The sequence below is a fragment of the Homo sapiens genome, chromosome 15, assembly GCF_000001405.40.
Source record: "Homo sapiens chromosome 15, GRCh38.p14 Primary Assembly".
Classification (NCBI taxonomy): Eukaryota; Metazoa; Chordata; class Mammalia; order Primates; family Hominidae; genus Homo; species Homo sapiens.
The window spans coordinates 31436901-31453200 of record NC_000015.10 but is presented as its reverse complement, the minus strand read 5'-3'; the positions used below and the strand labels follow the sequence as shown (position 1 = coordinate 31453200).

Here is a 16300-nt window from a genome sequence, read left to right as displayed (position 1 = left end):
CAACTGTCAGAAGGAACAACGGTACTGTCACCGCTTATCTTCAGTGACACCCTGGGGTGAGGGGCTCAGCACCTTCCTCTCGGGGAGCCACATTTTCCTCCTTTGTCTTAGGGGACATAACAAGCTCTGCTGGGCTTGAGGGACCCAGACCAGGTGTCTGCAGTCAGCTCCTGAGACACGGCTGGCCGGCACAACAGGTGTTACATCAGGGGTTTCCTGTGGCCGTTTGGACTTTGAGCGTTTATCTAAATTAAATTGGCCCAGGGTTGGCTGGTGGGTCACCCAGCAGAGGCTTCTCCCCATAGCACGAGGATGTGTCGTCTGGGCACGGTGACCGCGGTTATTCCTGGAGGTCGGCAGACATGCCGACCTTGGGCTATTTGAGCTGGAGAAGCTATGTGATGCTAGCCAGTAGCTTTCTTGGCTAGGCCCCAGTTTGAGGCTCCCCTGGGAACTAGAGTCAGGAACAGCCAGTGGCACTGACAAGGGGACGGAGTCCAAGGCATTATTGGGCCACCTGACAGCTGGACAGAAAAGGTGCAGTCACACCGAGGATGTGATTTAAAATAAATGCAGAAGTTTACTTTGAAAAAAAATGAATAAAATAAAAATAAAAAATAAAATAAAATGCTCAAAAAGAAAAAAAAAAACTATATCCAGCAAAACTATCTTTCAAACATGAAGATGAGCTGAGCATGGTGACTTATGCCTGTAATCCCAGCACTTGGGAGGCAGAGGTGGAAGTATGGCTTGAGGCCAGGAGTTTGAGACCAGCCTGCACAACTTAGCAAGACCCCATCTCTACAAAAAATAAAACGAAAAATAAATGAAGGTAAAATAAACTCTCAAATAAACAAAAACTGACAGATTTTGTTGCTACCCGACTTCACTTCCCCACTTACAAGAAATACTAAAAGAAGTTCTTCAGGCTAAAACAAAGTGACCCCAGAGGGTAATTAGAATGTACCCTAAAAAAAAACCCAAAAAGTGCTGGTATAGGTAATTACGTAATTACATCGTATAATTGCAAAAGACATATAAAATGCATGTTTTTTTCATTGTTCTCTTAACTGATTTTAAAAGCAATTATATAAAGTTACATATATAGAATGTATAGTTGGACATATAACATATAGAAGTGCAATATACTTGCCAATAACAATAAAAAGGAGGTAGGTGGCAACAAAGCTGTATTCGGCTAAAGAAATGGCTACAGACGGTAACTTGAGTCCACAGGAACAAAAGAGAAGAACTAGAAATAAGGAAGAAGGTTAATATAACAGAAGCTATTAATATATACTCAGTCTTCTTTCTTCTCTAAACTTCTTTAAAAGACATAAAAGTATATAATGTAATAATTATTAAAGAGTCTCTGGGTTTGTAACAATAATGTAATATGTATAACAGTAATATCACCAAAAGTGGGATAAAAGGAACAGAGCTATATAAGAGTAACGTTTCTATGTATCACTAGAACTAAGCTAGTATAAATATGAAACTGATGCTAATAATTTAGGACGTATGTAGTAAGACTTAGAATAGCCACTAAGGAAATAACTAAAAGAATTGTGAAAAAAAATTAATGAAGTTAAAATGGTACATTAGAAAATATTTAACATAAAGGGGAATCGAGGACTGAAAAGACGTAAAACATATAGCACCCAAAAAGTAAAATAGCAGATGCAAATCTAACTATAACATTAAATGTGGATGGATTAAATAATACAATCAAAAGGCAAAGATTATCTGGCTGGATTTAAAAAAACATGATCTAACTATGTATTCTCTACAGGAGATGCACTAGGCCCAAAGACACAGTGGGATGGAAGTAAGTGGATAGAAAAAGGATGCACCATGCATAAAGCAATTGCAAGAAAGTTGGAGTGGCTATACTAACATCAGACATCTGACAAGCTAGACTTTCAAACCAAAAAAAGTTTGTCAAGATAAAGAGATATTTAAAAGTGATAAAGGGATTAATCTATCAGGAAGATAAAGCAATTATTTAAAAATTATGCACCCAGTAATGGAGCACCAACATGGAGGAAGCATAAACTGACAGAAAGGAAGGGAGAAACAGACAATTCAGCAATGAGAGTTACAGATTTCAATACCACATTTTCAATAATAGAGAAAAGGTTTCCAATAAGTAGTCTAAGTTTCTACCTCAAGAAACCGGGGAAGGGGCAAAATTAAACCAAAAGCAAGGAAGAAGGAAATAAGAAGTAGAGGAATATAAATCCATTAAATTGACTACAGACCAGTATCTCCCATGAATATAAATGCAAAAATCATCAATAAAATACTAGCAGAACTAATCCAGTAACTACAAAAAGGATTAGGCACCATGACTGTGATGGTTAACTTGGCTCAGGGGCCAGTTGCTTGGTCAAACATCAGTCCAGATGTTGCTGTGAAGTTATTTTTTTAATTCAAATTAATAATTTAATCAATACACTGAGTAAAATCAAATTACCTGCCATCATGTGGGTGGACCTCATCCAATCAGTTGAAGGCCTTAAGGGAAACGACTGAGGTCTCCAGAAAAATATATTCTGCCTCCAGATTGCTGTTGGACTCAAGACTACAACACTGACTTGTGCCGGGATTTCCAGCCTTCCAGCCAGCCCTGCGTACTTCAAACTTGCCAGTCCCCAAAACAGTGCAAGCCAATTTCTTAAAATCTCTCTCTCCCTACCTCCTACCCTCCCACTCCTTTTTCCTCTTCCCTTCCACCTCTCCCTCCCCTTCCCCGTCTTCCTTCCCTTTCCCTTCTCCCTCCCCTTCCCCCTTAAGCCTCTCTCTCTCTCTCTCTCTCTCGTTCTTTTTGCTTAGAAGTAGAAATGGCCAGACATGTGATTATGTACCAATTATGGACTATGACCAATGGTCTGAATGGATGGTCAGGGACTTGGAGGGAATATAACTGGAAAATTGGCGACAAGGAGGTCATGTGTATAGATCTCTGATATTATGTGTCAAGGTAGGTATGTGTATAGATCTCTCTGAATGGGCACAAAAAGTGAAGATATTTGTGTCCCATGTGACAGCTCACCAAACAGTGACCTCAGAAAAGGAGGAGCTTAATAATCAAGTGGAGGCGGGGCACAGTGGCTCACGCCTGTAATCCCAGCACTTTGGGAGGCCGAGGCAGGCAGATCACAAGGTCAGGAGTTCAAGACCACCCTGGCCAACATAGTGAAACCCCGTCTCTACTAAAAATACAAAAAATTACCCGGGCGTGGTGGTGGGCACCTATAATCCCAGCTACTCGGGAGGCTGAGGCAGGAGACTCACTTGAACCCAGGAGGCGGAGGTTGCAGTGATCGGAGATCACGCCACTGCACTCCAGCCTGGGCGACAGTGCGAGACTCCATCTCAAAAATAATAATAATAACAATAATCAAGTGGATAGGATGACACCAGTCAGCCTCTTTGTCCAGCCACCCTTGTCATCATCCATGGGCTCCTGAGCAAAAAGTGGCCATGGTGGCAGGGATGGAAGCTATGCACAGGCTCAGCAACACAGAATTGCCACTCACGAAGGCTGACCCAGCAATTGCTCCCACTGTGTGTCCAATCTACCCTCAAGAGAGACAATATACCCAATCTACTGTGTGCCCAATCTACCCTCAGCAGAGACAACACTGAGCCCTCAACATGGTGCCATTTTCCAAAGTGTTCAGCCAAATACATGGTGGCAGGTTGATTACGTTGGACAGTTTCCATCACAAAAGGGACAGAGTTTTGTTCTTACTGGAATAGACATTCTAGATATTGATTTCCTTTCCCTGCACACAATGCTTCTGCCAAAACTACCATCTGTGGACTTCCAGAATGCCTTATCCACCATCACGGTATTCCACACAGTATTGCTGATCAAGGAATTTACTTCACAGCCCATGAAGTGTGGCCCTGGCTCATCCTCGTGGAATCTACTGATCTTATTATGTTTTTGACTATCCTGAAGCAGCTGGCTTCATAGAATGGTGGAATGGCCTTTTGAAAATGCAGTTACAGCACCTACTAGGTGGCAACACCTTGTGGGGCTGGGGCAAGGTTCTCCAGCAGGCTGTGCATTCTCTGAATCTGTGTCCCATATAGGGTGCTGTTTCTCTGATAGTCAGGATTTCTTCAATAGTCCAGGAATCTAGGATGGAAATGGGAGTGGCACCATTCACTATTACGCGTAGTAACCACTAGGACATTGTTTGCTTCCTGTCTCTGCAACTTTGTGCTGTGCTCTGCTCATCTAGAGGTTTTAGTTCCAAAGCAAGGAATGCTTCCACCAAGAGACACAATACTGATTCCATTGAACTGGAAGTTAAGACTGCCATCCGGCCACTTTGAGCTCCTTGTGCAAATGAACTAACAGGCAAAGAAGAGAGTTACTGTACTGGCTGGGGAAACTGATCTGGAGTACAAACAGGAAACCGGACCGCTACTGCACACAGAAGATAAGGAAGAACACGTGTGGAATAGAAGAGCTCCCTTAGAGCATCTCTTAATACTACCATGCCCTGTGATTAAAGTCCATAAAAAAAAACAAAAACAGAGCACAACGCAGGCAGAACTACTAATGGCCCAAACCTTTTAATAATGAAGTTCAGGTCACTTCATCAGGTGCTCACTGAAGGCAAAGGGAATACAGAATGCACAGAAGACAAGGGTAACTGGAAATACCAGCTATGACCACGTGACAGAAACAAGGACTGTAACTGTTATAAGTGCTTCTTCCTTATTTTGTTACAAATATGTTTGTGTGTATGTGTTTGAAAAAACATTTGTTTTCTTCCATCTCTTATTGCCTTATCATATAAGATGTATTAGTTTTATATCTTAGTGTTTAAGTTATAGGATATCAAAGAAAAGTAAATGTCCTTCAAGGACTTTCTGTCTTTTTCTGGGGTAAGGGTTAGTGCATTTTTGGTTGTAGGCAGAATAGTTGTATCATGCTAGGTGGAAGTATGACCTTGTTATTTAATGCCTCTGTTTGGAGATGAAGTACAGTTTAAAGGAAATGCGTCTGGTGACAAGGGGTGAACTATGATGACTGAGTCTGTGTGTCGACGTGGCTAGGCTATAGTGCCAAGTTGCCTGGCCACAACATCAGTGTAGACGTGCTGTGAAGGTAGGGACGTGGATGAAGCTGGAAACCACCATTCTCAGCAAACTATCGCAAGCACAAAAAAACCAGACACCGCATGTTCTCACTCATAGTGGGAATTGAACAATGAGAACACTTGGACACAGGAAGGGGGACATCACACCCCAGGGCCTGTTGTGGGGTGGGGGGAGGGGGGAGGGATAGCATTAGGAGATAGACCCAATGTAAATGCCAAGTTAATGGGTGCAGCACACCAACAAGTCACATGTATACAAATGTAACAAACCAGCACCTCGTGCACATGTACCCTAGAACTTAAAGTATAATAAAAAAAAAAAAAGAAGGTCAATATCACTAACCATCAGGAAAATTCAAATTCAACCACAGTGGGATATGGGATACCACTTCACAACCACTATGATGGCTACGATTAAAAAACCAGATGGGCCGGGCGCAGTGGCTCACACCTGTAATCCCAGCACTTTGGGATGCCGAGGCGGGTGGATCACGAGGTCAGGAGATCGAGACTATCCTGGCTAACACGGTGAAACCCCATCTCTACTAAAAAATATAAAAAATTAGCTGGGCGTGGTGGCGGGCACCTGTAGTCCCAGCTACTCAGGAGGCTGAGGCAGGAGAATGGTGTGAACCTTGGAGGTGGAGCTTGCAATGAACCGAGATCGCGCCACTGCACTCCAGCCTGGGCGACAGAGCGAGACTCCAACTCAAAAAAAAAAAAAAAAGTCAGATGACAAGTGTCAGCAAAGATGTGGAGAAATCAAACCCTTATATCAATACACTGTTGCAGGAATGTAAAATGATACCACTAGTTTGGAGAAGAGTCTGGCAGTTCTTTAAATGGTTAATCAGAGAGTTCCTGTGTGGCACAGTAATTCTGCTTCTCGGTATATCCCCAGGAGAAATGAAAACATATGCCTCCACAAAAACCTGTACACTAATGTTCATAACAGCATTATTCGTATCAGCCCCCCAAATGGAAACAAACTAAATATGCATTGATTGATGAATGGGTAAACGAAATGTGGTATAGCCATACAATGGAATAATATACAAAATAGAAAGGAAGTGCTGACACGTGCTACAACATGATGAACCTTGAAAACATGCTAAGTGGAAGAAGCAGGGGCAAAGAGCCAATACTGTATTACTCCATTTATATGAGGCATCCAGCATAGACAAATCTAAAGAGACAGGTGGTTGTCTCAGGGCTGTGAGGGATGGGAAGAATGGGCGTGACTGCTAATTGACATGCGTTTCGAACTCAAATAAGATTTTTGTTTGGTTGTTTTTGAGACAAGGTCTGGCTTTGTCGCCCAACCTGGAGTGCAGTGGTGCAACAGTGGGGTCTCCCTGTGTTGCCCAGGTTGGTCTCGAACTCCTCAGCTCAAGGGATCCTCCTGCCTCTGCCTCCAAAAGTACTGGGAATATAGGCATGAGCCACCTCGCCCAGCCTGATATGGTGTTTCTTTATGGGGTGATGAAAATATTCTAAAATTATGGTGATGGCTTAAGCGGATCTGTTAAAACTATGGAACAGCACACTTTAAATGGGTGACTTGTAAGGCATACAAATTATATATTAAAACAGTTGTTATACTGAAAACCCAATGAAATTAAAATCAATGAAGTAAAATGCTGGTTAATCAAAACAATAAAATTGATAAACCTCTAGCATGCTTACTTTAATTTTTTTTAAAAAAACCTGCCATCCTGGTTTCCAGAGTGGCCATAATGTTTTACATCCTCACTTTTAGCATCCTTCCAATATCTAAGCAGAAAGCAAAAATAAAAGTTTCTTTATAAAGAAAAAAAATTAAGGTGGGAATCGGACTTCTCCACAATGCTAAATATCAGAAGGCAGTAAAGTTCTTTCTAAGAAACTTACAAAAAGGAGTGCCTGTGACCCAAGAATTATATAGTTAACTAAATTGTATCTCATCTTATGTGAAAAAGCCAAAAGACTATATGCAAAAGCTTGCTCAGAAATTATATCACCAAAAATTCTTGAAAACATAACCCCAATTGAATAACATATGAAATTATTTAAAGGTTCAAAAAACGAGAGTGATATGATGTCAAAGATGGATGGTGAGCAGATAAATCACTTGAAAGAAGAGATCAATCTATACTGGTGCTGTGAATACAGTTCCACAACTGAATGTGAATGCTTAGAATTATTCTTAAGGCTGAAAGTACATAACATCATAGCACTAGTCCCATGCCAGTGGTCTAGATGTCAATGCCAGTTTATTTTGTTAAGAACCAAGAAGCGAGTGGATAAGAGACCAGGTGAAGAGGAATCTTTTCTAAACTTATTATTTTTAATATAGGCAATAATCTAAAAGAGCTCTACTAATAGAAAAGAAGCAGAGACGATGCCTTATAAAATACAGAATAATATAACAACCAAAGATGACAAAATCCAGACAGTGAAAGACAGAAAACAAAGGAAAGAGTAAGTAAGCATAAATATTAGAAAGCAACTGGGCATGGTGGCTCACTCCTGTAATTCCAGCACTTTGGGAGGCCGAGGCAGGTGGATCACCTGAGGTCAGGAGTTCGAGACCAGCCTGGCCAACATGGCGAAACCCTGTCGCTACTAAAAATACAAAAATTAGTCGGGCGTGGTTGTGCAGGCCTGTAGTCCCAGCTACTTGGGAGGCTGAGGTGGGAGGATCACTTGAGCCTGGGAGGTGGAGTTTGCAGTGAACTGAGATTGTGCCACTGCACTCCAGCCTGGGTGACAGAGTGAAACCCGGTCTCAAAAAAAAAAAAAAAAATCAGAAAGCATGAAACAGCATAACAAAAATAATACCGAAAGTATTAGTTATAGTGACAAATGTGGGTAGTTCAAATACCTCTATACTAAGACATAATTGGTTGACTAAACTCAAAAAATAATATCCAACTATATGCTGGCTATAAGAGACACAGTTAAAATAGAGTGAGGCATGGAATGTGATTCACGAAGGTAGGAACCATGTCTCTATGACACTCTGCAAAGCCCAGTTCTGAGACACCACGTGGCATACATATAGGAGATGCTCACTGTGGATTTGCTAATGAAAGCAAAGGAACAAACGAAAATGTTCTAGGTCTACTGCAAACAAGTAAGTGAAAAGAACAGATGTTACATTTAAAAAAAAATCACAGAAAATAGAATCTAAAACAACAACTATGAAAATAAGGCAAAGGTGGTCATTTTATTTTTCTAAATCATGAAATGACAACTTCCACAATCCTTCTTACATGGGAAATATTATTCCACTAAAATGTATTAAATGAAAACTTTAAAAAATACAAAGGGAAATTGACAAAAATGCAATTGCACGGGGAGGTTTTACTGTATCACTCGCACTTTTTTTTTTTTTTTGAGAGGGAGTCTCACTCTGTTGCCCAGTCTGGAGTGCAGTGGCGTGATCTCGGCTCACTGCAAGCTCCGCCTCCTAGGTTCAGGTCATTGTCCTGCCTCAGCCTCCGGAGTAGCTGAGACTACAGGCGCCTGCCACCATGCCCGGCTAATTTTTTGTATTTTTTGTGGAGATGGGGTTTCACTGTGTTAGCCAGGATGATCTCGAGCTCCTGACCTCGTGACCCGCCCTCTTCGGCCTCCCAAAGTGCTGGAATTACAGGCCTGAGCCACTGCGCCCAGCCTCACTCACACCTTTTTGATGGAGGCAGTATATTAAAAATCCACAGGCATATGAAGGCCTTGAATAATGTAATCAATATCGCTGATTGAATAGACACTGCTAATGAAGTCAACCCCCACCCCCCGACCCCCCGACACACACCTACACACACACACACACACACACACGTTTGTTCAGAGACATCAGTTGTCATGTGAACTCTTTCTTTTTTTAAGGGAAACAGTCTTTCTTGAGGACCACATGCAGGCTGGTGGGTGGGTGAGGTTGAAGAAACACCATGGCAAAGGTTCTCTCTTGGGGCTTTTGGGCTCTGTTTGAGCTCCTGGGATTGAGATCGGTTTGAGGGCCCAAAACCAAGATTTTCTTGAGCAATCTGGTAAATTTCTAGGCCATGAGGTCATAGTCTGAGGTCATCTAACTGTTGAAGAGGAAGTCTTAGAGCCCAGATTAGGGAACAAAGGAAGCCTTACTTGGTCTAGGTGAGAAAGTCTAGCTTCGAGCTGGGTTTGTACCTTTGATCTTTCCACTGCTGTAGGGACATAAGCCATATTCCATGGAGGACTGTGCCCTTGGCAATGGGACGGGAGGGAGGGAGGGTGGGAGTCTCAACAGGCCTTCATAATCTGGGTGTAACATGAGTGTGCATATGACTTTGTGGTTATAGGCTATGACATATGAGTCATATCTATGTTAAATTTTATATAAAAATAGAGAACTGGCCAGGCATGGTGGCTCACGCCTGTAATCCCAGCACTTTGGAAGGCCAAGTGGGGGCAGATCACTTGAGGTCAGGAGTTCAAGAGTAGCCTTGCCAACATGGTGAAACCCCGTCTCTACTAAAAATACAAAAATTAGCCAGGCATGGTGGCAGGCACCTGTAATCCCAGCTACTGGGGAGGCTAAGGCACGAGAATTACTTGAATCTGGGAGGCAGAGGTTGCAGTGAGCCAAGATTGTGCCACTGCACTCCAGCCTGAGCAACAGAGCGAGACTCTGTCTCAAAAAAAAAAAAAAAAAAAAAAAAACCCACCAAAGACAGAGAACTTTCCTTTCCAGAATTCAAGCAATATTTATACACATCGATGAAATATTGGGCCACAGAGAAACCTCAATAAATACCAAAAGGCAAAAAAGGTAATAAGGTTAAAAACCTCAATGTAATAAATCTTCAAGTCAATAACTAAAAGTTTAATTTTTAAAATGCCATGTATGTAAATCACACCCCAATTTTAAACATCTAACCCCTTGAAACTTAGAAATAAAACCACTGTCCTAAAGAAATGTCAGCTCACCGAGAAAAACAAAACTGCATTTACATAAGACGGGAATGATGAGAAAATTGCCCAGCAAAACTTATGGGACATGGCCACAGCCTGTTTTTATTACTAAGCAAGAAGAAATGAATAGACATGTGATGAGTAGTCAACAGATGAAGTCAGAAAAACAGAAATAAGATGCGAGGAATGTGCTTTAAAAGACACACACGTCAGGACAAAAACAAAAGTTGTAAGTGAATTACATGAGAAAAAAATGTCTAGTCTTGATAAATAACACTAAGGGCTGCTCTGAGAAGAGACTGGTCCCCCTGCAGGCACAGGGTGGGGAGACTAGGATCCCAGCCCAGCTGCTGACAGCTAAGCCTCTCTGAGCTCCCTGTCTCCCTCCATCTGCTGGATGACTGTAAATCAGACCGTCATAGAGAAGCCTATGGTACCAATTTGTACCCAAGTCTCCCCTCTTCCTACCTAATGTAACTGCTTTGTAATTTTGCATGACTTGGATCGGGTCATTTATTATTTGCGGGGCTCAGGCTCCTGATCGGCGCCCCCTCCAGCATTAGGGTGCAGAATTATCAAACACGATGTGGCTCTCTGGGTCCTGGCAGTCAGTTTCCTCCAAGCCTCGGTGGCCCCAGACAGAGACTGGTTTTTGTCATGGAAAAACACTCCTCAGAGCAGGGTCTTTAAAACCGTTCCGCCAGCCAACCCCACCCAATTTGCAGAGATTCAAGAGTAAAAGAAATGTTATCATTGTCAAGCCACTAAGTTTCCAGGTGGGTTGGCACACAGCCATAGTGACTGCAAAAGGGCATCAAGGAAGAAATTAAGGAAAAGCAAGTGTGACGTCAAAGGCCGAGAGATTGTGCCTTAGACTGATATGTGTTATACAGCAATGTAAAATGTTGTTGTTAGGATAAGAATCGATATACCCTCGCGGGGCTGTAGTCAGGATAGAGACCCTGTATGCAAACCGCTCAGCAAAGTCTCTGGACACACTAGGCGCTCAAGATAGAAACAGTGGCTACCATCATCACCCTCACCACCGCCGGCAGCAGCCCTTCTCCCAATACTGGCAAGGACGTATTTAGCCAGTGGCATTCATGTGAACTAGCTATCCTGTCCCTGTAGCCATGTAAACATATCATCAACAGGGGCCGGGCGCCCTGGCTCACACCTGTAATCCCACCACTTTGGGAGGTGAGGCAGGAGGATGGCTTGAGCCCAGGAGTTCAAGGCCAACCTGGGCAACATAGTGAGACACCTCTCTACAAAAACAAACAACCTGTGTGGTGGTGCGTGCCTGTGGTCCCAGCTACTCAGGAGACTGAGGAAGGAGGCTTGCTTGAGCTCAGGAGTTCTGAGGCTGCAGGGAGCCGAGATCGCCACACTGCACTCCTCCAGAGCAAGACACTGCCTCAAAAGAATAATAAAAATAAAGGGCCGGGCACGGTGACTCACGCCTGTAATCCCAACACTTTGGGAGGCCGAGGCAGGTGTTACACGAGGTCAGGAGTGGCCTGGCCAAGATGGTGAAACCCCGTCTCTACTAAAAATACAAAAATTAGCCGGACTTGGTGGCGGGAGGCTGAGGCAGAGAATTGCTTGCACCCGGGAGGCAGAGGTTGCAGTGAGCCAAGATCGCACCACTGCACTTCCAGCCTGGGAGACAGAGCAAGACTCCGTCAAAAAAAAAAAAAAAAAAGACATTAAGGGCTTTCTGGGACCAACTCGCCCACCCTAATGTCCCTCGCTTTTCCTTTCATTCATGTGCTTCTTTTTTAATTAAAGGACTTTCTTTGCATCCTGGTGTCCAGCCAGTTTCCCGATTTAAATCTAGGTTCTGGAGAAGCTGACGCCGGGTGGGTTGCGGGGGGAGGTGCGGCGCAGCGCGGAGGCCGCGTGGACAGGGTCCCGGGCGCGGGCACCGGGCGTCTCTGGAGCGGGTCTGCAGGCGCCGCCCACGCTCGCGGGTCACCCTGACCTCGAAACCGCGCGACTCTGACTCGCGCTTTCCGCTGGCTCCGCTGGGGCGGTGCCCGGACAGCGAAGGGCCCGCGGGTCAGCGCGGACCACTCTCTCCTGCTGCCCGCCCGGCAGCCACATCGGCCACAGGAGCGGGGACTGCGCAGAGGCCCCCGGTACTCCGGCCCTTCCCCCACCCTCCCACCCCCAGCCAAAGACTGGGGCGGGGCATCCTAGTCCGCGTGACTCGGATGGGTGGCCTGAAGCTTCCACAGTTCCGCCAACGCGGGACCCGAGCGCAGATGAGAATCCACAGGCGTGGGGGGTGGGGCTGGACCCCTGACCTGCCCTCCAGGAGCCCTCAGTCCACAACCAGGCCGGCAAGCGCGAAGCGATTCCAAGAGACCTGCAAGAAAGGAGCCAGCTGCCAGAGCCCAGGCTTGGGGTCTGGACGCTGGGAAAGTCCACGAGGAATTTGATCCTGCCTTGAAGGATGGCCGTAGTGCACCTGTGCACCCGGGAGCAAGGCCCACGCAGGGAGCAGGACAGCGCAGGCCCAGGAGAGGACCCCGGAGGAAGCTCAAGGGGCTAGGTTAAGCCTAAAGGAAGGTTTGGTGGGAAATAAGGCTAACCAATAGCATAACACGATTAACCCACATCAGCCATTAAGAACTTAGCTGGTAGGGGGAGCGGGGAAGGGGTTCCAGATGTTGGTCAAAGGATACGAAATTTCGGCCGGGCGCGGTGGCTAACGCCTGTTATCCCAACACTTTGGGAGGCCAAGACGGGCGGATCACCTGAGATCGGGAGTTCGAGACCAGCCTGACCAACATGGAGAAACCCCGTCTCTACTAAAACTACAAAATTAGCCGGGCATGGTGGTGCATGCCTGTAATCCCAGCTACTCGGAAGGCTGAGGCAGGAGAATCGCTTGGACCGGGAGGCGGAGGTTGCCGTGAGCCGAGATCATGCCATTGCACTCCAGCCTGGGCAATAAGAGCGAAACTCCGTCTCAAAAAAAGAAAAGAAAAAAAAAAGATACAAAATTTCAGTTAAAGAGGAGGAATAAATTCAGGAAGTCTATTGTACAGTATGGCGACTATAGTTAATAACAACGTATTATAGACTTGAAAATTGCTGAGAGTACATTTTAAGTGTTCTTACACCAAAATGTAGGTGAGGTAATGGATATGTTAATTAGCTTGATTTAGACACCCACAATGTATACATACTGTATATCGCACATCATGTTGTATACCATACATATATACAATTTCATCAATTTAAATTAAAAAAAGATATTAGCTCATATTAGTATTTCAATCAGCCAGCCCAGGAATATTTGATAGAGGAGGGAGGCATGGTGCAGATCCCAAGAGACTGAGAGAAGGAGCAGAGGAGCTATCATGGGGGCGGTGGGGCCTCAGATTGCCCAGGGATAGCTGAGGTGTCAGGGGAGGCCAACACGTGCTGCAGCACCAAACAGCACCTAACCTCAAGGCTGAGCACAGCGAAGGTGCGTTTCCCCTCACATAAAGTGCACTTCAGACATGGGCAACTCTTGAAGGAGCAGTCGCCCTGGTGGCAGGTCTCCACCCGAGGCCTCCTCCATGGTCACTGTGGGTGGGAAGAATGAGAGGACCTGGAGAGTCAGATTGGCGGGTAAATGCCTCCCCCTGGAGGTGACATAGCCTTCATCCATGACATGACCTCGCTCCCTGTGAGGGATTCAGGAGTGTCATCTCCCAGGGGTCTGGAAGGAGAGGAGAGTCAGATGGGGTCGGCGCTGAAAGTCTCCATCAGCAAAGGGCCGGAGCCTGTGGACTGATTCTACCTACACCCTGCTTTCACAGGAGGCTGGCTTGCTGCCTGGGGCTGCACTCTGTCACCTGTCAGCTGCATAGAGGTGCTCCTGGACTTACTATGAGGTCACATCCCAATAAACCCATTGTAGGTTGAAGATTTCATAAGGTGAAATTGCATGTAATACACCTAACCTACTGAGCATCATATCCCAGCCTACCTTACACATGCTCAGAACACTCATTTAGCCTACAGCTGGGCAAATTGTCTGGCCGCACAGTCCCCTATAAGGTCGTTTACCATCGTGATCACGTGGCTGGTGTCCGGCATCGAGAGAGTATCTTACCGCTTCCTACTGAATACATATTGCTTTCTCACCATTATAAAATCAGGAAAATTATAAGTGGAACCATCATAAGTTGGAAACTGTCTGTAATTACATGGCCATCTGATTGGCTTGTTAGAAGTCTCAACAATGGGTGCTCGCAGAGTGCTATGGAGAAGAGGTCTCTTGTGAAGTACTTAAGATCAGCTGAAGCCGCACTCAGCCTCACTTAGGAACACATGCACTCGGGAGGCAGGCAGAGAATTCAGCATGGGTGTGGCCTGCAGAGGTCACTCCCATTCCCCATTGGTACATGGACCTCCTACCTGTACAAGAGTGAAGATGTGACTGGGCTGAGTGAAGAACTGGGCTGGTCCCAGTTCTGCCTCTCCAGCCAAGGGGCTGGGCACATGACCCAAGGGAGAGGAGTCAGAAAGACCATGGGGACTTTCTTGAGCTCTCCGCTCTGGAAGCTCTAGCTTCTCTGACCTTGGAGTTATTGATGATCAGCTTGCTGCTGGGAGAGCTGGTCTGAGGAAGAAGCCTAAAAAGGGGGGAAACAGAATAGAATTGTGGAGAGAGAGAAAGAGAGAGAGAATACAGATCCAACTTGAGCTTCTAGAACCAACTGTGCCTGAAGCTATGACCCATTACACAGCCGATACGTGTCCTCTCTCTGTTTAAGCTAGCTTGAGCCATATCCTCAGTTATAAATGAAAAATTCCAATTACTAATTGGTCTTTGGTGCAAAGCCCAACACAGAATTCTCCTAAGCTAGGCTGACCCACTAGTAGCACTCCTTTGGTGAGGTCCCCTTTTCCCCTAAGGCCAACCTGTTAGTAAAAAAAGCAAGTTACCCGGCCTCTGTGTGGGAGCAGGAAGACACAGGCCCTTCTGCTGGGGGTGTGTCTATCCTGGCCCTTCCCTCTCATGCCCAGTCTTCCCATTTCCCTTCAAGCTCATGTCCTGTGGGCCCAGGGGTGGGGATGTGACAGAAATGAGGTGCTCCTAGGACCACTAGAGAGCCCCATCTCCTCTGACGTGGGGTGGCACAGGGGTCACTGAGTGAGCCTCCTCTGCCCCTCATGGGAGAGCTCCTCGTGACTCACTGCAGGGTTGGGTGCAATGGGGGACAGGGTTTGGGAAACAGAGACCTTCTCAAGTGAGCTCAGGCAGAGGGGGATTTCCTAGCAGGCCACAGGAGACCACGGCCCACCCACATGAGTGCTCTCGGGTCCTTGGGAGCGTGTGCAGCTTCTCTCTCCTGCACCTGCAGGGCCTGTTTCCTCTGGCCCCTTCTCCTCACATCCATTCTCTGCATGTGGGTTCTGCAGCCTGGTGGCCTGCCCTGGCTCGCCCTGGCCAGCAGCCTCAGCCCCCAGCCCGTGCAGATGTCATGTCCAAAGACCCGACCACAGAGCCCAAGGTCTAGCAGGTACAGCTGCCAGATAAAATGCAGAACATCCATGCAACATTTGGGATGTGCTTATACTAAACTCTTACTCAAATTTTTATTTGAAATTCAAATATAACTGGGTATCCTGTATTTTTATTTGCTAAGACCTGACAACACTCATGGGAGGAAGCCCCCGAGTGGGAAGAAAGGTTAAGGTAGAAAGGGAGATCCCAGGATTGCTTTCTGGGGTGCACGCCTCCCTGCACCCCACCCCACAGATATTTAGACTTTGAGGCAGGCCTTGGGCTGGCAGTGCCCCATCATCAATGGGGGAGCTGTAAGTGGCTGCGAGGGGAACCAGAGCAAACCCCAACATAAGGCATGGCAGAGAAGAGGCACCCTGCTGCTCCTCCACATTCCCAGTCACCTGTGAGGGCCTCCAGTGACCAGCATTCCAAGATCCTCTCCCCAGCCAGCAGCCACTACTGGCAGTGACTATGTGGAAGCTCCCAGTGCCCTTGGTGGGTATGAAACTGCTGGGGTCCATCTCTAACCTGGCCCAGTCTTTGCAGGGAAGGATGATAAATGGCCACTTGTCGCGCCCGTGCCCACACTTCATGAAAGTGTCCAGGGGATGGTCAGTCCACCTCAGATCGCCCTGGCAGTCAGGGCTGGCATTCCACACGTCTGGGGGGCAGCCTGAACTTTGAACACCCCACCCTCAGGGGTTACCTAGCTGACCCTGCAGCAGGG

General features: G+C 46.0%; 1 annotated feature.

Annotated features, from left to right (window-relative positions):
• Positions 12079 to 12579: an enhancer, noted in NCBI's record as "H3K4me1 hESC enhancer chr15:31732825-31733325 (GRCh37/hg19 assembly coordinates)". NCBI's record gives its function as "activates a minimal SCP1, AML or CMV promoter by ChIP-STARR-seq in naive H9 embryonic stem cells {active_cell/tissue: H9 hESC(naive)}" and the evidence as "EXISTENCE:reporter gene assay evidence [ECO:0000049][PMID:30033119]".